Source organism: Homo sapiens, chromosome 2 (genome assembly GCF_000001405.40).
Source record: "Homo sapiens chromosome 2, GRCh38.p14 Primary Assembly".
Taxonomy (NCBI): domain Eukaryota; kingdom Metazoa; phylum Chordata; class Mammalia; order Primates; family Hominidae; genus Homo; species Homo sapiens.
In genome coordinates, this window is record NC_000002.12 from 231,532,133 (window position 1) to 231,551,988 (window position 19,856).

The 19,856-nt window shown below is 48.7% G+C and overlaps 1 long non-coding RNA gene across 1 annotated transcript, besides 6 other annotated features; it reads left to right on the forward strand.

Moving 5' to 3' along the window:
• LOC105376787 (uncharacterized) lies at positions 38-19,493 on the forward strand. Its single transcript, XR_001739928.2, has 4 exons — positions 38-707; positions 2,360-2,482; positions 7,891-8,067; positions 18,982-19,493. It is a non-coding gene; the product is annotated as an uncharacterized LOC105376787 (long non-coding RNA).
• Positions 3,542-4,043: an enhancer, noted in NCBI's record as "H3K4me1 hESC enhancer chr2:232400385-232400886 (GRCh37/hg19 assembly coordinates)". NCBI's record gives its function as "activates a minimal SCP1, AML or CMV promoter by ChIP-STARR-seq in naive H9 embryonic stem cells {active_cell/tissue: H9 hESC(naive)}" and the evidence as "EXISTENCE:reporter gene assay evidence [ECO:0000049][PMID:30033119]".
• Positions 6,192-6,392: a silencer, noted in NCBI's record as "peak4079 fragment used in MPRA reporter construct". NCBI's record gives its function as "represses an SCP1 promoter by STARR-seq MPRAs in K562 erythroleukemia cells {active_cell/tissue: K562}" and the evidence as "EXISTENCE:reporter gene assay evidence [ECO:0000049][PMID:32103011]".
• Positions 13,439-13,668: a silencer, noted in NCBI's record as "silent region_12431". NCBI's record gives its function as "represses an Ori minimal core promoter by ATAC-STARR-seq in GM12878 lymphoblastoid cells {active_cell/tissue: GM12878}" and the evidence as "EXISTENCE:reporter gene assay evidence [ECO:0000049][PMID:35858748]".
• Positions 13,439-13,760: a biological region, named in NCBI's record as "Sharpr-MPRA regulatory region 7070".
• Positions 13,466-13,760: a silencer, noted in NCBI's record as "tiled region #7070; K562 Repressive DNase unmatched - State 8:EnhW". NCBI's record gives its function as "represses a minimal TATA promoter and a strong SV40 promoter by Sharpr-MPRA in K562 cells {active_cell/tissue: K562}" and the evidence as "EXISTENCE:reporter gene assay evidence [ECO:0000049][PMID:27701403]".
• Positions 13,769-13,968: an enhancer, noted in NCBI's record as "active region_17291". NCBI's record gives its function as "activates an Ori minimal core promoter by ATAC-STARR-seq in GM12878 lymphoblastoid cells {active_cell/tissue: GM12878}" and the evidence as "EXISTENCE:reporter gene assay evidence [ECO:0000049][PMID:35858748]".
• Positions 19,494-19,856: the final 363 nt, after the last annotated feature.

A 19,856-nucleotide genomic window follows, 5' to 3' on the forward strand; every position in this document is an offset into this window, starting at 1 on the left:
CCACTGTGGCATCACAGGCTGCTCTTAGCAAGTGAGGAGCATTTGGACCCCAGCCCTTCACTGGAACACACACACACACGCACATGCATGTACACACACATACACACACATGCATGCACACATCACTCTGCACATACCACACCACACACACGCGCACACACATACCACTCTGCACAGACTCTGAGCAGTCCGAAAGTCCCCGTGGACCCTTTGGTTCACACAGCCCTGGAGGGGATGGGGAAGGACCCACCTAGCCTTGCAGAGGCAGAATGACTCTTGCCAGTCAGGAATTCCTACAGCGGGTTGCATCATTCACATAACATTAGCAGCCATCAAAGGCTAAAGAGCAGCCCCCAAAAAGGAGAGGCTCAGTGGCCACAATGGCTGTGGCCCTCACTTCCGCACTGTGCAGAGGGCCCTAGGGGCCCTGGCCTCCGGGCCTGAGCTCAAGGCCACCACGGTAGTGTCCCATCAGAAACGTATGACATCCTGCTGCTCCTGCTCCGTCCTGAGGTGGCACCCCCCAGTTTTCTGGGTGTACACATCCATCTAAGCTTGGCTGGTGGGCGTCTGCCCAGATGAGGGGGCCAAGGACCCAACTCTGCACAACAGCAAATGCATTCAGGGAGGGCCACTGGGACCTCCAGGAGCTGCTGAGATACCACCCAAGTCCCAGGCGTGTGCAGGACTCATGGGGCCAGAGGCATGTGAGTAGCTCCGTATCCCCTCCTCATCCTGCTGAGTCCCTGAGAGCCAAGAGGGGCTGCTTAAACTCAGGCCAGGCTTAAACCAGAACCTTCTCAGCCTTGGGCTGACCCGCAGCTCCTGGCAAGCCCATGGTTCCCCCAGAAACGCCCCAACCCCACCCCACTTACTGCCTACAGAGGGGAGGCAGGGAGGATGAGATGAGCTTGGGGACACTGTAGCTCTGGACAGGAGGGAGGCACTGTTCTGCAGCCTGGGCAATGGGGATCACCCAGGACCCCCATCACTAGGCTTCATTGGGCAAACATGGAGAACAAGAACAGTAAATATCCGAAGCAAGGGAGAGTCGCTGTACCCATCTGGGCACCTCCCAAGGTCAGAGAGCTCCCTACCCAGCTCTGCTCTGTGGGGTCCCAGCCTGGCCATGGCCAGGAGCTAGAGGAGGATGGTCTGGGCCCCTCAGGTGATGGGGTTCCGAACTTGGGGGCTGGGATTGCACCTCAGGGAGCCACGTGGCTTTTGTGTGATCATGCACCCATGCTCCCTGAGCCACCAGCCCTGGTCTGCTCACAGAAACTGGTGGGAGAGATGGTCAAGCCAGGCAGGGAACATGGTGAGTACAGGCTTTGGAGGCTGTGAGGCCAGAGTGAGACTCCGCATTCTGCCAGCGTGGCCTCAGATAAGCCACTTTGCGCTTCAGGCCTCAGCTTCTTTGCCTGTAAAACACAAACATAGCCCCTGTCCTTCAGGGATGCCATGAGGATTAAGAGTGATAATGTGGGTTTAAGCACTCAGTGCAGGGTTGAAGAGCCTGGAATTCTCTGGAAGATACCAGAAAGCTGCTGGGAGGCAGGGCTGGGGTGGGAGCTGTCCTTAGTAGGGTTTGGAAGGGCAAGGTCCCCAGCACCCCGGGAAGGAGAGCTGAGTCCCAGTGGAAAGGAGCACACAGGCTTGCAGGGAGCCCAGCCACAGTGCAGGCAGTCGGGGCCCTGCAGCCCGGTGGGGACCAGCAGCGGAGGAGACCTCCGGGGAGCATCGCCCCTGCCTCTCCTGCTCCTAGAGGGGACCACTGGGGACTGTCTAGCCCCTTGCCCCCTGAGGGCTGTGAGGCCTGTTCCTGAGCTCTCCCAGAGACAGCCAGCTCACAGGCTTCAGGCAGGGTGCTGGGCACAGGGAGCCGGTCACCTCCTCACAGGGGCTCAGCCTGTGTACCAGGCCCCAACCTCCGCTTGTGGCCAAAGGGAGGACATGTTCAAGTCACACAGTGAGAAGGCCAGAAAAAGCCTGTGTCTCTCATGTCTAGGGCCTGTGTGTCCCTCATGCCACCCTGGACTGGGGCCAGATCTTATTGTGTGCCCACAGGGTGCTCCTGGCACCTACTCCTCCAAGCAATAAAGGCCACCCTCAAGTCCACCAGCCTTCCCAGCTAACACACCACACTTGGGTGTGTTACAGAAGCTCCTCTTGGGGTCTTCCCATTTATAAATTCTCATAGTCATGATCAGAGGGAGGTTTCAGAACAAAAGTTTCTCCCCCTGCAACAGGTGACCAGCATCAGGACTCAGGAACTTGTTAGTCTGCAGCAGTTTGCTGTGTTTGATTTAGTAGTTTTTTTTCTTTTCCCTTTTAACTTTTTTTTTTTTTTCTGAGACAGAATTTCACTCTTGTTGCCCAGGCTGGAGTGCAATGGTGTGTGTGATCTCAGCTCACTGCAACCTCCACCTCCCCGGTTCAAGCAATTCTCCTGCCTCAACCTCCCAAGTAGCTGCTATTACAGGTGCGTGACACCACACTAGGCTAATTAGTAGAGACATGGTTTCACTATGTTGGTCAGGCTGGTTTTGAACTCCTGACCTCAGGCGATGCATCCACCTTGGCCTCCCAAAGTGCTGGGATTACAGGTGTGAGCCACCGCGCCCAGCCCTGACCTTTTTAACCTTTTATATTAGCATTATTTCATACCTACAGGAAAGTTGAAAGAATAATACAAAGGATTCCTATATTTTTGGGGGACTATGAGAGTCAGTTGCAGACATAATGCTTCTTTACCACTAAATGCTTCTGTTCTGGTTGAGTTTAGAAGTGTTCTATGAATACCATTAGTTCCCCCTGTCCAATAGGCAGTAGCCTACCAGGGAGTAGGTGTTAAGGAGGCAGTCCGCCTGGCAGGAGTAATATTTTATCACCAACATTGTTTAGAATCACTGGCACATCGTGCCACTTTTTAAAAAGCAGGCCACTTTTAGTCAGTTCAACAACTCTTTTCCAAACCTTCTCCATTATTGCCTGTTCCCAAGGCAGGCTGCTGCCACAGCCAATAGATACTAAAGCAGTAAATATTCAGAGTGCGAGGAAGGTCAGCATTACAAAGGGAATAACATTAAATTGGAGGAAATATATCAAAGAACCGGAAAGTGGTGATGAAATGACAGTGGTGCATGCATACGGAATGCGTCTTTCTAGGGTTGGGGTGTTCTTAGGAACAAAGACTGAATCAGGAGGTAAGTACACAGTGCTGGGCCTATCAACAGCAACTGCTGGACACAGGGAAAGGGGACCAAAGGCAGGTGCACTGAGGGTGTGTGATGGAGGAGCGGGCACCAGCATGGGCACAGTTGGCCTAAAGCTAAGAGAAGGCCAGGTATGTGAAGACTGAAAGACAGGGTGCCAGAAGATCCTCCTGTTGAATTGTTTTTTTGTTTGTTTGTTTGTTTTTGTTTGTTTTTTTGAGACAGGGTCTCACTCTGTCACCCAGGCTGGTGCAGTGGTGCGATCTCGGCTCACTGCAGCCTCAACCTGCCTGGCTCAATCGATCCTCCCACCTCAGCCCCTCAAGTAGCTGGAACTACAGGCATGCACCACCATGCCTGGCTAATTTTTGTATTTCTTGTAGAGACGGGGTTACACTATGTTGTCTAGGCTGGTCTTGAACTCCCGGCCTTAAGTGATCCACCCACCTCGGTCTCCCAAAGTGTTGGGATTACAGGTGTAAGCTACTGCAACAGGTAAGGATCTTGGTTTTCAAAAATCAAAACTGGCTCCAGCTGATTTAGGCCGGATTTCCTGAAAAACATCCGGCAGCTCACAGAATCAACAAGAAGGCTGGAGGGGCAGGGAGACGGTGGGGCTGCAGCTAGAAGGGTTGGCACTGTGACCCGGCATCCCGTGGACACTGGCCCCAGGCTGGGACCATGTCCCCGCCTTTTGAAGCACTTGCCCTGGACCCCCTGCCCCGGGGTGAGAGACAGGATGCTACAAAGTCAGGTCCTGCTGCTGCACTCTCGCTGCATGGGTGGGGTGAGCATGGGTCTTGCAGCCTTCTGGAGGGGAGGAGGGGCAGATTCCCCACCCAGTGGGTCATCCACAGCCCCTGGCAGACAGCCCAGGTGCCAAGCAGCCAGAACAAACCACAGATGACCCTGCCACTCAGGGATTCAAGCCCTTGTCAAAGGCACCCAGCCTCAGAGAGGGTGGCAGACGGCTAGTGTGAGCACAATGGAGTCACAAGGCATTGTGAGACCCAGGGTTGGGGGACAGCTTGTCCCAGCAGGCTTATAAGGTTGGCAAAACCATTTTGCAAAAAGATGCCCAGGAGAACTTTAGCATCTGTTTATGACTTTTTTTTTTTTTAAGACAGGGTCTTGCTTGTCACCCAGGCGCTGGAGTGCAGTGGTGCGATCACGGCTCACTGCAGCTCTGACTTCCCAAGCTCAGCTGATCCTCCCACCTCAGCCTCCTGCGTAGCTGAGACTACAGGCACACACCACCATGTCCACTAATGTTTCTATTTTTTTCGTAGAGATGAGGTTTCACCATGTTGCCCAGACTGGTCTCGAACTCCTGTGCTCAAGGGATCTACCCACCTCGGCCTCCCAAAATGCTGGGATTACATGCGGGAGCCATCGTGCTTGGCCTGTGTATGATTCTTGTATGCATAAATTATTACTATGATGGTCTGCCAAATGGTGATTCTAAACCCCATCATCCCTTCATTTCCGAGCTGACTGTGACTAGAAGGAGAAACTTCCTCTTATCACTTTTATTTATATCCATGTGGACCCATGATTTCTTATTCTATTCAAAGGATACTAATTCATTATCATTATTTGTGTTGATGTTCAGATTTGTCCCAGATTTGACCAGTGGGAGCCCCTTCAAGTTGGATCGTATATCCTTTTGATGTGTCATTATGAATATTTTGTATTTTCTGGCACAATACAATGTTCTAGGCTCATCTCCTATTTCTCTGGGCTATCCTGGAATAAGCCATTTTCCAAGGAGCTCTGGCTCCTTTAGTGGAGAATGATGGAAACCAAGATCAGCCGGGCACAGTGACTCACGCCCGTAATCACGCCTGTAATCACGCCTGTAATCCCAGCACTTTGGGAGGCCGAGGCGGGCAGATTGCTTGAGCCCAGGAGTTCAAGACCAGCATGGGCAACTTGGTGAAACCCCATCTCTACCAAAAATACGAAAACTAGCCAGGTGTGGTGGTGCATGCCTGTAGCCCAAGCTACCTGGGAGTCTAAGATGGAAGGATCACCCAAGCCCAGGAAGTCAAGGCTGTAGTGAACTATGCTTGTACCACTGCACACAAGTGTAGGGGACAGAGCAAGACCCTGTCTCAAAAAATAAATAAATAAATAAATAAATAAAGGACAGGCATGGTGGCTCACACCTGTAATCCCAGCACTTTGGGAGGCCGAGGTAGGTGGATCACCTGAGGTCAGGAGTTCAAGATCAGCCTGACCAACATGGTGAAACCCCGACTCTACTAAAAATACAAAATTAGCAGGGCATGGTGGCGCTTGCCTGTAATCCCAGCCACTTGGGAGGCTGAGGCAGGAGAATCACTTGAACCCCAGGAGGCAGAGGTTACAGTGAGCTGAGATCACACCATTGCACTCCAGCCTGGGCAACAAGAGCGAAACTCTGCTTAAAAAAATATATATATATGTAATAATAGTCATGAGATCTGGGTCAGATCTGGTGGTAATGAAATCAGTGCTCAAGATCTGGGTGCTGAGTGTGCTCATTACTGTTGGGTTGTTGCTGCTCCCAGACCCTCCAGTGGGCAGAGCTAGGGAATATATGTATGTATAAATATATAGATATATACACACATACTATATATACTGTATGTATACACACATATATATTGATACTTTTTTTTTTTTTTGAGATGGAGTTTTGCTCTGTCACCCAGGCTGGAGTGCAGTGGCATGATCTCAGCTCACTGCAACGTCATCTCCCGGGTTCAAGCGATTCTCCTGCCTCAGCCTCCCAAGTAGCTGGGATCACAGGCACCTACCACCACATCCGGCTAATTTTGTTTTGTTTTTTTGGGTTTTTTTTTGTTTGTTTGTTTGTTTTTTTAGTATTTATTGATCATTCTTGGGTGTTTCTCAGAGAGGGGGATGTGGCAGGGTCATAGGATAATAGTGGAGAGAAGGTCAACAGATAAACACATGAACAAAGGTCTCTGGTTTTCCTAGGCAGAGGTCCCTGCGGCCTTCCACAGTGTTTGTGTCCCTGGGTACTTGAGATTAGGGAGTGGTGATGACTCTTAACGAGCATGCTGCCTTCAAGCATCTGTTTAACAAAGCACATCTTGCACCGCCCTTAATCCATTTAATCCTGAGTTGACACAGCACATGTTTCAGAGAGCACGGGGTTGAGGGTAAGGTTATAGATTAACAGCATCCCAAGGCAGAAGAATTTTTCTTAGTACAGAACAAAATGGAGTCTCCTATGTCTACTTCTTTCTACACAGACACAGTAACAATCTGATCTCTCTTTCTTTTCCCCACATTTCCCCCTTTTCTTTTCGACAAAACCGCCATCGTCATCATGGCCCGTTCTCGATGGTCGCTGTCTCTTCGGAGCTGTTGGGTACACCTGCAGAAAGGCTGTCACTTCACACTTGGAAGATTGCACAGCAGCCAGGCAGAGGCGCTCCTCACTTCCCAGACGGGGCAGCCGACGCCCGGCTAATTTTTGTATTTTTAGTAGAGACAGGGTTTCAGCATGTTGGCCAGGCTGGTCTCAAACTCCTGACCTCAGGCTATCTGCCCGCCTTGGCCTCCCAAAATGCTGGGATTACAGACGTGAGCCACTGCACCCAGCCTGATACTTATTTTTATATCTATCTATAAATGTTGAAAAGCATGCACTGACATCAGTACCTGTAATTCCAATTTGACACCACAGCATTCATCCCTACGACACCTCCCTGAGAGGAAGAAACTCGTCTTCTGTTATTTTCGCCATATTTCCTCTTTGGGCCAACCTCCTCAGTGTGTAATTCACCTTCCGTTGCTACCATCACTGCCCCTACCAGACCCCTCCTAACCTAATCTGAATCCTCACTCTGAGCTGTTGCCCACTCACTGCATAGACACACTTCTCATAGCACCCAGGCTCCCAGGTAGAAGGAAACACGCTCCATCACTGTACATGGGAATGACAGCATTTCTAGAGGACAAGTTTAGCAACAGCTACCAATATATAGAAGTCTATCCTTTTGGCTCTGAAACTTTACCTGTAGAAATTTACAGAAAAAAATAGTAGCTCAGGCCAGGCACAATGGCTTACACCAGTAATCCCAGCACTTTGGGAGGCTGAGGCGGGCGGATCACTTGAGGTCAGGAGTTCGAGACAAGCCTGGCCAACGTGGTAAAACCCCAACTCTACTTCAAAAAGTACAAAAATTAGCTGAGCCTGGTGGTGCGTGCCTGTAGTCCCAGCTGCTGAGGAGGCTGAGACAGGAGGATCACTTGAACCAGATCATGCCACTGCACTCCAGCCTGGGTGACACAGCAAGACTCCCAACTCAAAAATAAATAAATAGTAGCTCAAATATAGAGAGATAAGTGGTACTAGTTATAACCTTGTTGTGATAGGGAAAAATTGGAGACCACATGAATTTTCCTTGTCTTAGCCCCCTAGAGACTTGTCTTTGTCTTAGCTTCTGAAAGCAGAGTGTCCCGCATGCCTGCTAGAACCGTCTCCCTGAAAGATCAGATAGTTTGTGGATAACTGACTTCCTCCAGAGATGTTAACTTTGCAGCCCTTTCTGGCTGTGTTTGTACAAGGGTCCAGAGGGCTCCTGGGTATCAGAGAAGGTCCTGGGGCAGAAAGCAAAGATGCAAGGCGCCAAGCTGAGTTGGGACTCTTTTTCTGTAGATGCAGCTGGAATCAAAGTCCCACCAAGGGGAGGAGACAGGGACCCCAAAGGCACCTGCTATCTTTATCAATAGAGAACAGACAATAATGGGACACCAGTGCTGTGGAATGGTGTGCAGGCGTTTGAAGGAGGGAGGTCAGGCCACACAGGCTGTCCTGGAAAGGCATCCAGGCAAGGTATGTTGCCAAGAGAAACCTGTAAAGAATGTAATGACATGGAGGGTTGGATTTCAGATATGTAAATTACAGGGTGGGCTTTTTCTTTTTTTTTTTTTTTCATTTTGTTTTGTTTTGTTTTGAGACAGAGTCTCGCTCTGTTGCGCAGGCTGGAGTGCAGTGATGTGATCTCAGCTCACTGCAACCCTCTCGGGTTCAAGTGATTCTCCTGCCTCAGCCTCCTGAGTAGCCTGGATTCTAGGCATGTACCACCATGCCCAGATAGTTTTTGTATTTTTAGTAGTGATGGGGTTTTGCCATGTTGGCCAGGCTGCCTTTTTTTTTTTTTTTTTTGAGACAAAGTCTAACTCTGTCACCTAGGCTGGAGTGCAATGGAATGATCACGGCTCGTTGGAGCCTTGACCGCCCAGGCTCAAGCCATCCTCCTGCCTCAGCCTCCTAAGTAGCTGGGACTACAGGTGCACCACCACACCCAGATAATTTTTTATTTTACTTTATTTTATTTATTTATTTATGTATTTATTTATTTTTGAGACAGAGTCTCGCTGTGTCGCCCAGGCTGGAGTGCAGTGGCGCGATCTCAGCTCACTGCAAGCTCCGCCTCCCGGGTTCACGCCATTCTCCTGCCTCAGCCTCCCGAGTAGCTGGGACTACAGGCGCCCGCCACCATGCCCAGCTAATTTTTTGTATTTTTAGTAGAAACGGGGTTTCACCATGTTAGTGAGGATGGTCTCGATCTCCTGACCTCGTGATCCACCTGCCTCGGCCTCCTATTTTTTATTTTTCATAGAGATGGGGTCTCGCTATGTTGCCCAAACTGGTCTCGAATTCCTGGGCTCAAGTAATCCTCCCACCTCAGCCTCCCAGAGTGCTGGGATTACAGGCATTCACCTGGCCCTTAGTCACGTTTTCTTTTCTCTAGCTAGCTTTACTGTAAAAATATAGTACATAATACACATAATATACAAAATTCATGTTAATCAACTGTATGTGTTATCTATAAGGCTTCCAGTCAACAGTAGGCTATTAGTAGTTAAGTTTGAGGGGAGTCAAAAGTTATACACGGATATTCAACTGCACATGGGGTCATCATCCCTAACCCCCACTTTGTTCAAAAGTCAACTGTAATTCAAGAAGTCCTGGAGGGAGGCTGAGGCAGGAGAATGGCGTGAACCCGGGAGGCAGAGCTTGTAGTGAGCCAAGATCATGCCACTGCATTCCAGCCTGGGCGACAGAGCGAGACTCCGACTCAAAAAAAGAAGTCCTGGGGCATCTGCAGAAATAACTGTGGACCAACTACAGGAGGAGCAGATAAGAATTAGTTTCGACCACAAGATTGGGAACAGATCAAGGGCACGGCATATTCATGCACAGGAGGGGATGGATATTGGCATCAGAGCAAGTATTGAGCTGTGGTGGCCTCTCAGTGAGGATGGAGGACACAGGAGACCCACTGTGGGACTCGATGTGATCACTGGCTTCCCTTAGACATTTGCAGACATGGCTTGAACGTGCTGACAGCTCCTCTCTCCGCCTGGGGGCGCTAGTTAGCACAGTGGAGTGTCTTCTGTATGTGCTGATTTAGGCCAGAGTGCCAGGGAGTTAACACCCAGGAACACGCTCCTTCTAGGGGTGGCACTAGTAGAGAAATGCGCCATGAGCAGCCAGCATCCACGATGGCCCCAGCGATCCCCGCGTCCTGGTGTGCACACCCTGGTGTAGTTGCCTCCCACATTGAACAGGGCTGAACTGTTCTACGGGATATTGAGGAAATGACAGCATATGCCATCCAAGGCTAGATCATAAAAGCATTGTGAAAACTAAATTGAGCAAAGGACTTGAATAGACATTCCTCTGAAGAGGTTATACAAACGGCCAGTAAACACGTGAGAGGGTGCTCATTATCACTCATCATTAGGGAAATGCAAATCAAAACCACAATGAAAAACAAAATACCACCTCGCATTCATTAGGTTGACTATTATTTTTTAAAAACCAGAAAACAACAAGAGTTGCTGAGGATGTGGAGCAATTGGAACCCTTATGCACTTGTGCGCTGTCATCGGGAATGCAAAATGGCATCACTAGAATGGAAAACAGCACAGCAGTTCCTCCAAAAATTAAAAATAGAATTATCATATGATCCAGCAATTCCACTTCTGGGCATATACCCAAAACATTTGAAAGCAGGAATTTGAAGAGATATTTATACACCCATGTTCATAGCAGCATCATTAGCAAAAGCCAAAAGGTGGAAACAACCCATTCATCTGTCCATTGGCAGATGAATGGATAAACAAAATGTAGTATATACATAAAATGGAATATTATTCTGCCTTAAAAAGGAAGGAGATTATGACATATGCTGCAAAGCAAATGAAGCCTGAGGATATTATGGTAAGTGAAATAAGTCACAAAAGGACAAATACAGTAAGAGATACCTAGAGTAATCAGATTCATAGAGACAGAAAGTAGAATGGTAGTGGCCTGGGCCTGGGGGAGAGAAATGGGGGGTTGTTATTTAATGGGTATGGAGCTTCCATTGTGCAAGATAAAAATAATTCTGTGGATGGATAGTGGTGATGGTAACACAACAATGTGAATGTACTAAATGCCACTGACTGTACACTTGAAAATGTTCAGTTGATAAAATTTATGTGTATTTTATGACAATTTAAAAATATTTAAAAACAAAAGCATTGCAGCTTCTACCTTACAATCTTTTGGATCACTGCTTTGGGGGAACCAAGCTGCCATGTTGTGAGGATGCTCAAGCAGCCTCGTGGACAGGTTCACACAGCAGGCAACCAAGGCCTCCTACCAACAGCCAGCACTAATTTGCCAAGCAAGTGAGCCACCCAGCAATGCTGGAAGAGTATCCTACAGCCCTAGTCAAGTCTTCAAGATGATTGCAGCCTCTTAAGAGACCCTGAGCCAGAACCATCAGCTTACCACAGAAATGGTGTGAGATAGTAAATGTTAATTGTTTTAAGCTGCTATATTTTGGGCTTATTTGTTATAGAGCAATGGATAACTAACACCCTCATACACTATTGGTGGGAAAGTAAAATGGTGTAGCCACTTAGGAAAACAGGCTGGCAGTTCCTAAAATGATTATAGAGTTGCCAGATGATCCAGCACTTCTACTCCTGGATATACCCAAGAGAGATGAAAACATGTGCCTATACATAGACATGAATGTTTACAGCAGCTTTATTCATGATAGCCAAGAAGTAGAAATAATGCAAATGTCCAACAATGGATTAATGAACAAACAAATGTGGTATATCCATACAATGGAATATTATTTAAGCATAAAAAGGAACAAAGTAGTAATATATGCTATCACTTGAATGAAACTTGAAAAGTGAAAGAAGCCAGTCACATAAGTCCACATATTATATGACTCCATTCATAGCAAAGTCCAGAACAGGAAAATCTATAGCGACAGAAAACAGATTAGTGGTTGCCTAGGGCTGAGGGAGGGACGAATAGACGTGATCACTAAAAAGAATGGAGTTTCTTCGAGGTGATAAAAATGTTCTAAAATTGACTATGATGATGATTGTACATAGATGGTGGCAATAAAAACCACTGCACTTGGCCGGGTGCCGTGGCTCACGCCTGTAATCCCAGCACTTTGGGAGGCCCAGGTGGGTGGGTCACCTAAGGTTGGGAGTTTGAGACCAGCCTGACCAACATGGAGAAACCCCGTCTCTACTAAAAATACAAAATTAGCCAGGCATGGTGGTGCATGCCTGTAATCCCAGCTACTGGGGAGGCTGAGGCAGGAGAATCGCTTGAACCCGGGAGGTGGAGGTTGTGGTGAGCCAAAATCGTACCACTGCACTCCAACCTGGGCAACAAGAGCGAAACTCTGTCTCAAAACAAAACAACAACAACAAACACAACACTGTACTGTACACTTTCGATGGGTATGTGAATTATGTATCAATAAAACTGTTTTTAAAAATACACCAGGCACAGTGGCTCATGCCTATGATCCCAGCACTTTGGGAAGCCAAGGCGGGTGGATCACTTGAGGCCAGGAGTTTGAGACCAACCTGGCCAACATGGTGAAACCCTGTCTCTACCAAAAATACAAAAATTAGCAGGGTGTGGTGGCACATGCCTATAATCCCAGCTACTCTGGCAGCTGAGGCAAGAGGTTACAGTGAGCTGAGATCACGCCACTGCACTCCAGCCTGGGCAAGAGAGCCAGACCCTGTCTCAAAAAATAAATAATAAATAAAAATAAAAATAGGTAACAAATGCACCACAGCTTCCTTGTCCCTGGGCGGGACAATTCTAAGCCATGTTCCACAGGGTATCTCAGGGGGTCCCCACCGTGTTGCCTGCCCATAGTCCTGACTGGCCTGGGAATGAATACACACTTCATTTTCTGTTGTTTTTTTTTTGACACGGAGTCTCGCTCCGTCACCCAGGCTGGAGTGCAGTGGCGCGATCTCGGCTCACTGCAAGCTCCGCCTCCCAGGTTCACGCCATTCTCCTGTCTCAGCCTCCCAAGCAGCTGGGACCACAGGTGCACACCACCATGCCTGGCGATTTTTTTTTTTTTTTTGAGATGGAGTCTTGCTCTGTCGCCCAGGCTGGAGTGCAGTGGCGTGATCTTGGCTCACTGCAAGCTCCGTCTCCCAGGTTCACGCCATTCTCCTGCCTCAGCCTCCCAAGTAGCTGGGACTACAAGTACCCACCACCACGCCTGTCTAATTTTTTCTATTTTTAGTAGAGACAGGGTTTCACCATGTTAGCCAGGATGGTCTCGATCTCCTGACCTCGTGATCCGCCCGTCGAGGCCTCCCAAAGTGCTGGGATTACAGGCGTAAGCCACCGCTCCCGGCCACTGCAATTTTTTTTTTTTTTTTTTTTTTGTATTTTTAGTAGAGATGAGGTTTCACTGTGTTAGCCAGGGTGGTCTGGATCTCCTGACCTCGTGATCCGCCCACCTCGGCCTCCCAAAGTGCGGGGATTACAGGCGTGAGCCACCGGGCCCAGCCAGAATGCACACTTCATTTTCTTTCTTCTCTTCGTTATCTCTCTTCCTCCACCCCCTCACCATGCTTTCTGGGCTTACGTATCAAATAAACGATTTCATCAAGTTCATGCTTCCAGGTCTTCCTTTTGAAGAAACCCAAGCCACAGCAATCCCCCTTGTTGGGCTGGAAATCAAGAAACCCCTTGGGGTAGAGCTGACCCTGAGCCCTGTCTGTAGGGAAACTGGCCAGGAGTGCTGTCCCCCTGGCTGACTGCCCAAGGCGTGGAGCAAAGTCAAGAACAGCCACAGAGCTGTCCTCAGCCATCAGGCATCCACCTGATGTGATTTGCACACAGGCTGACACACATTTTCAGGCCTGGGAACAGTAGCAGGGACCGTTAAACAGTCAGGCCCTGTCACTGCCCCTTACCCCAGAGGCAAGCTGTGTGGGACGTGTTCACTTCCCCTGAAGCTTATTTTGCCTCTTCCTGTGGCTGGGCTGTATCTGACCACACAAACCACCAAGACTGAGACAAATGAGTTTACGGAAGGGTGTGGGGCAGAGTTCAGCAGAGTCTGTGGGAAGGGTCAGACTCCTTGACTGTGATCTTCAACTCTCCGATTAAGAGAAGGCAAAGATTGCACAGCCAAGACTTGAAATTAGGGAACCAGGAACACCCTTCTGGCCCCTCACAGAAGAGGTGTATTCATTTGCCAGGGCTGCCACAACAAAATATCACAGGCTGGGTGGATAAACAACAGACATTTATCTTCTCCTAGTTCTAGAGACTGAAGTCCAAGATCAAGATATCGGTAGATTTGGTTTCTCCGGAGGCCTCTCTCCTTGGCTTGCAGGCGACCATCTTCTCTCTCCCGGGTCTTCTTAGGGTCTTTCTGTGCACACACATATCTGTGTCCTAATCTCTTCTCATAAGGACGTGAGCCATATTGCACTAAGGCCCACCCCTGTAAACTTATTTTACCGTAATTACCTCTTTTCAGGCCCTATCTCCCAATACAGTCATATTCCAAGGTACTGAAGGTTAACACTTCAACACAGGAATTTGGGGGTGATGTAGCTCAGCCCATAACAAGGGGAAAGGAGGCACAGGGACCAGTGCAATGAGGCGTCCTCTGCCCAGCGAGGCCCCTGTCATTTTGGCTGTGAACTCACTGACCGCCACCCTAAGCACAGGCCAAGAGTCAAAAGGCAGAGAGGAGAGCTATGGGCTCAACACGGCCTCCGCCACTGGCCTCCAGGCAGAGATTGGGAAATGAATGCCCGGAATTTTATTCTTTCACAAATTCAGCCCTGTTCAGCCTCCGTCAAACGCCCTCATCTTCAACCCAAAGACAGTTGGTCAATGTTAATGTTCCCAACACTCACATACAGGGTTGCTCAGAGCAACAACACCAGAGAGCCTCAGGCTGGCTCAAAGATTGCAGGAGTTGATCATATAATAAGGATTTTGATTTTATGTTTTATATATTTTACTGAGATGTTAGTTTTACATGCCAACTTGGCTAGGCCAAGCTAATAACTAGTACCCAGTTTTTGTTTGTTTGTTTTTGTTGTTGTTGTTTTGAAACAGAGTCTCACTTTGTTGCCCAGGCTAGAGTGCAATGGCACAATCTTGGCTCACTGCAACCTCCACCTCCCAGCTTCAAGCAATTCTCCTGCCTCAGCCTCCCAAGTAGCTGGGGCTACAGGTGCGCACCACTACATCCAGTTAATTTTTATTTTTTTAATTTTTTATTCGTTTATTTATTTATTTTTTATTTTTTTGAGATAAAGTCTCACTCTGTCGCCCAGGCTGGAGTGCAGTGGCGCGATCTCGGCTCACTGCAAGCTCTGCCTCCCGGGTTCACGCCATTCTCCTGCCTCAGCTTCCCGAGTAGCTGGGACTACAGGTGCCCGCCACCACGTCCAGCTAATTTTTTTTTTGTATTTTTAGTAGAGATGGGGTTTCACCGTGTTAGTCAGGATGGTCTCAATCTCCTGACCTCGTGATCCACCCGCCTCAGCCGCCCAAAGTGATGGGATTACAGGCGTGAGCCATCGCACCCAGCTGATTTTTATTTTTTTAGTAGAGATGAGGTTTCACCATGTTGGCCAGGTTGGTCTCAAATCCCTGAACTCAAGTGATCTGCTCGCCTTGGCCTCCCAAAATGCTGAGATTAGAGGCGTGAGCCTCTGTGGCTGCCGGTACCCAGTTATTAATTCAAACACTAATCTAGGTGCTGCTGTGAAGGTATTTTGTAAATGTAACTACCATCTACCATAAGTTGACTTTCTTTTTGCATTTAATTAATTAATTACTTTATTTATTTATTTATTTATTTTGAGACAGGCTGTCACTCTGTCACTCAGGATGAAGTGCAGCAGCACAATCATGGCTCACTGCAAACTTGACCTCCTGGGCTCAAGCAATCCTCCCACATTAGCCTCCCGAGGAGCTGGAATTACAGGCACATCCCACCATGCCCAGCTAATTTTTGTATTTTCTTTGGTAGAGACAGGGTCTCACCATGTTGCCCGGGTTGGTCTCAAACTCCTGAGCTCAAGCGATCTGCCCACCTCGGCCTCTCAAAGTGCTTGGATTACAGGTGCGAGCCACCACACCTGGCCTATTTATTAATTTTAAATTTTGTGGGTAGAGAGTAGGTGTTATAATGAGTTGGCTTTAAGTAAAGAAGATGACTTGCAAAAATGTGGGTGGGCCTCATCCAATCAGTTGAAGGTTTGAAGAGCAAAAACTGAGGCTTTTCCCAGAGAAGAAATTCTGCCTCGAGACTGCAGCACTGGCCAGGTGCAGTGGCTCGCACCTATAATCCCAGTACTTCGGGAGGCCGAGGTGGACAGATCACTTGAGCTCAGGAGTTTGAGACCAGCCTGGGCAACATAGTGAAAATCTGTCTCTACTAAAAATACAAAAATTAGCTGGGTGTGGTAGTGCGTGCCTGTAATCCCAGCTGCTCAGCAGGCTGAGGTGTCAGAATTGCTTGAACCTGGAAGGCAGAGGTTACAGTGAGCTGAGATCACACCTCTGCACTTCAGCCTGGACAATAGAGTGAGACTCCATCTCAAAAAAAAAAAAAAAAAAAAGGCTGCAGCATCAACTCCTGCCTGAGACTCCAGCCTGCCAGCCCCACAATCACATGAGCCAACACCTTGAAATAAATAATATATGTAGATATACACATATGTATACATACACATGCATGTGTGCATGTCCTGTTGGTTCTGTCTCTCTGCAGAGCCCACAGGGATACATCTACCCTTCATGGAAGGCAGGCATGCGAGGTGCTGGGTGTCCGTGTGCCAAGAGCATGGAGTCCACCATTCGGAGGGTGTGGGTGTCTCCAGGGGAGACGGCCCTCGAGGTCATGGAGGAGCAGGTGGGGCATTTGCTGAAAGTTGCCCTGCTGCTCCATGCTTGGAAAACGCATTCTGCTGTTGGTTTGACCAAAATGGCCAGAGAACCAAAAATAATCCCCACAAAGCTATCCCAAGTCCACACTGTAAATGGAAAATTACAGAAACCACTTGAAGGACTTGCAAAGTCCAGCTCTCCCATAAATCAGACCAGATCACGCCACTGTCTGCTGAAAATCCTCCTGAGGACCCTCAGAATAAACCCAGTGCCCAACACAGCCTGTGGCCCAGCCCTGCCCACCTCTACTCCCCTTCTCCTTTCTTGTGCCCCTGCCAGGTCACTCTCTGACACCTCAGGGCGTTTGCATGTGCTGTTTGCCCTGCTGAGATTCCCTTTCCCTGGCTCTTTGCCCAGCACCTTCTCATCCATTAGGGCTCTGACCACGTGTCCTGACATCTTGCCCCCAAACCTTCTATAACATCTTCTGTGTATGTCCTTTTGGAACAATGAACACAAGAGAATGAGATGAGCCTGTTCTCCTACAACAGTAGGAGAGATGAGCATCCATCTCCTACTTCCTTTCTGGAATACAGATGTGATGGCTGGAGGTCCAGCAGTTATCATGGACCCTAAAGTGCTCTGGAGGCTAGATATCACACCCTAAGAATGGCAGAACTGAAAAGCAGAGGAATGACAATGTGAAACTAACTATCTTTTTCTGTTTGCTTATTTTCCTATTTATTGTCTGTCTTCCCCCTCTGGTCTGTAAGTTCCAGGAGAACAGGCCCAACTTACTCTCTTGTGTCTCCCTAGTACCAGGCCCACAGGAGGTAGCACCTGATGTACCCTGAATGAATGAATGGCTCCTCAGCTCCTAAGTTCACTCACGTTTGGGTCAGAGTCCCTCCCCATTTTCCCACGGTGCCCTAGGCTGGCCCCATTTTGTCCCTTAGTGGTTGATGGCATTGGCACGCAGCTGTCCGAGAGTTTTAAGCTCCTGACTGGTGGGAGGCAGACTCAGACACATACAGGTTGGAGCCCGAGGAGAAAACCTCGCCACTGAACAAGGTGGAACTGAAGTAAGCCAGTTTGGACTGCCTGAGCTGAAGGCAGACAGGAAGGCAGGGCCCAGGGGCCAACTCCGAGAGTCACGGAAGGGATGTGGTCTCATCCTCATGTAGAAAATTTAAGAGATTGTTTCTGGGGTGGGAGGGTGGGGAATGGGGTGAAAAGGGGATGGATTTTACCATCATATCAGCTACACTGCTAGATTTTTTTAACCATGTACACGTATTGCCTTAAAATTAAACAATCACCGTGGCTTCTCAGTGGAACCTGGACTGCGAGAGATGAGAGGAGATTTGGGCTGGGACCTGTGGCAGAGGCTGCAGGCTGCCCACCCAATGTCATTTCCTCTCTCCCTATTTCCTGACTGACAGATCCTAGACTGTTTGTTTTTCCAAGTGACCATTTACACTGCATGTCTCAGCTAAATGACTACATTTCCCAACTACAGGAGGCCATTCAGAGGTTGTAGAGTGGGACTTATGAGGAAACGGTTTAAGAGAGACATACACAGTTGCTTGGAGGATTGCTTGAACCTAGGAGTTCTGGGCTGTAGTAAGCTAGATCATGCTTGTGAATAGCCGCTGCACTCCAGCCTGGGCAACAGAAGGAGACTATGTCTCTAAAAAAAAAAAAAAAGAGAGAGAGAGAGAGGGAGGCTGGGCACAGTGGCTCATGCCTATAATCCTAGCACTTTGGGAGGCCAAGGCAGGTGGATCACCTGAGGTCAGGAGTTCAAGACTAGCCTGGCCAACATGGTAAAATCTTGCCTGTACTAAAAATACAAAAATTTGCCAAGCATGGTGGCGGGCACCTGTAATCCCAGCTACTCGGGAGGCTGAGGCAGGAGAATCGCTTGAACCTGGGAGGCGGAGGGTGCAGTGAGCCAAGATCGTGCCTTTGCACTCCAGCCTGGGCAACAAGAGCAAAACTCCATCTCAAAAGAAAAAAAAAGGCCAGGCGCGGTGGCTCACACCTGTAATTCCAGCACTTTGGGAGGCCGAGGCAGGCAGATCACCTGAGGCCAGGAGTTCGAGACCAGCCTGACCAACATGGAGAAATCCTGTCTCTACTAAAAATACAAAATTAGCCAGGCGTGGTGGTGCATGCCTGTAATCCCAGCTACTCGGGAGGCTAAGGCAGGAGAATCACTTGAACCTGGGAGGCAGAGGTTGCAGTGAGCGGGGAGATCGTGCCATTGCACTCCAGCCTGAGCAACAAGAGTGAAACTCCGTCTCAAAAAAAAAAAAAAAAAAAAAAAAAGAGGCTAGCCGGGCACAGTGGCTCACATCTGTAATCCCAGCACTTTGGAAGGGTGCGGCAGGCAAATCACTTGAGCTCAGGCCAGCCTGGGCAACATGATGAGACCCCGTTGCTACAAAAAAATAAAAAATAAAGAGAGGGTTGGGGACAGACAGCTGATGAAAGCTATTTTTATACCTTCTCCTTAGCCTCCATCTCCTAATTCCTTTCTAGAATACAGATGTGATGGCTGGAGGTCCAGCAGCTATCATGGACCCTGAAGTGATCTGGAGGCTAGACATCACACCCTAAGAATGGCAGAGCTGAAAGGCAGAGGAAACATGAGTCTCTGGTGATACTATGAAGCTTCTAGTCCAGCCCTGAACACAATAAAAGTTTTTCTTTCTCAGGGTCTCTACAGGGAGACAAGAGGGGTATTCTTCTTATCTATGTCACCGATGGGCTGATGCTGATGGAGTAACCACCATGTTGAACATCACTCTATTAGAGCCCTGGAGGGTACTGGTAACTAAATATTTAGCCTGGATGTCAAATCACTTCTACTCATTGGCCAGAACTAGCCCCATGGCTCCGTCTAATCAATGGTAAGACAGCCAGGAAATGTCATCCTGCCAAGTACCCAGAAGGCAGGGAGCAGAAGGAGGTCCAGTGATCATCATTAAGAAATCAAGTTGGGGCTGGGCGTGGTGGCTCACGCTTGTAATCCCACCACTGTGAGAGGCCAAGGCGGGTGTATCACCTGAGGTCGGGAGTTCAAGACCAGCCTGAACAACATGGAGAAACCCCGTGTCTACTAAAAATACAAAATTAGCTGGGCATGATGGTGCATGCCTGTAATCCCAGCTACTCAGGAGGCTGAGGCAGGAGAATTGCTTGAACCCGGGAGCTAGAGGTTGCGGTGAGCTGAGATCGCACCATTGCACGCCAGCCTAGGCAACAAGAGCAAAACTCCATCTAAAAAAAAAAAAAGAAAGAAAAGAAAGAAATCAAGTTGTCCAGGAGCAGTGGCTCACGCCTATAATCCCAGCACTTTGGGAGGCCAAGGCAGGTGGATCACCTGAGGTCAGGAGTTCAAGACCAGCCTGGCT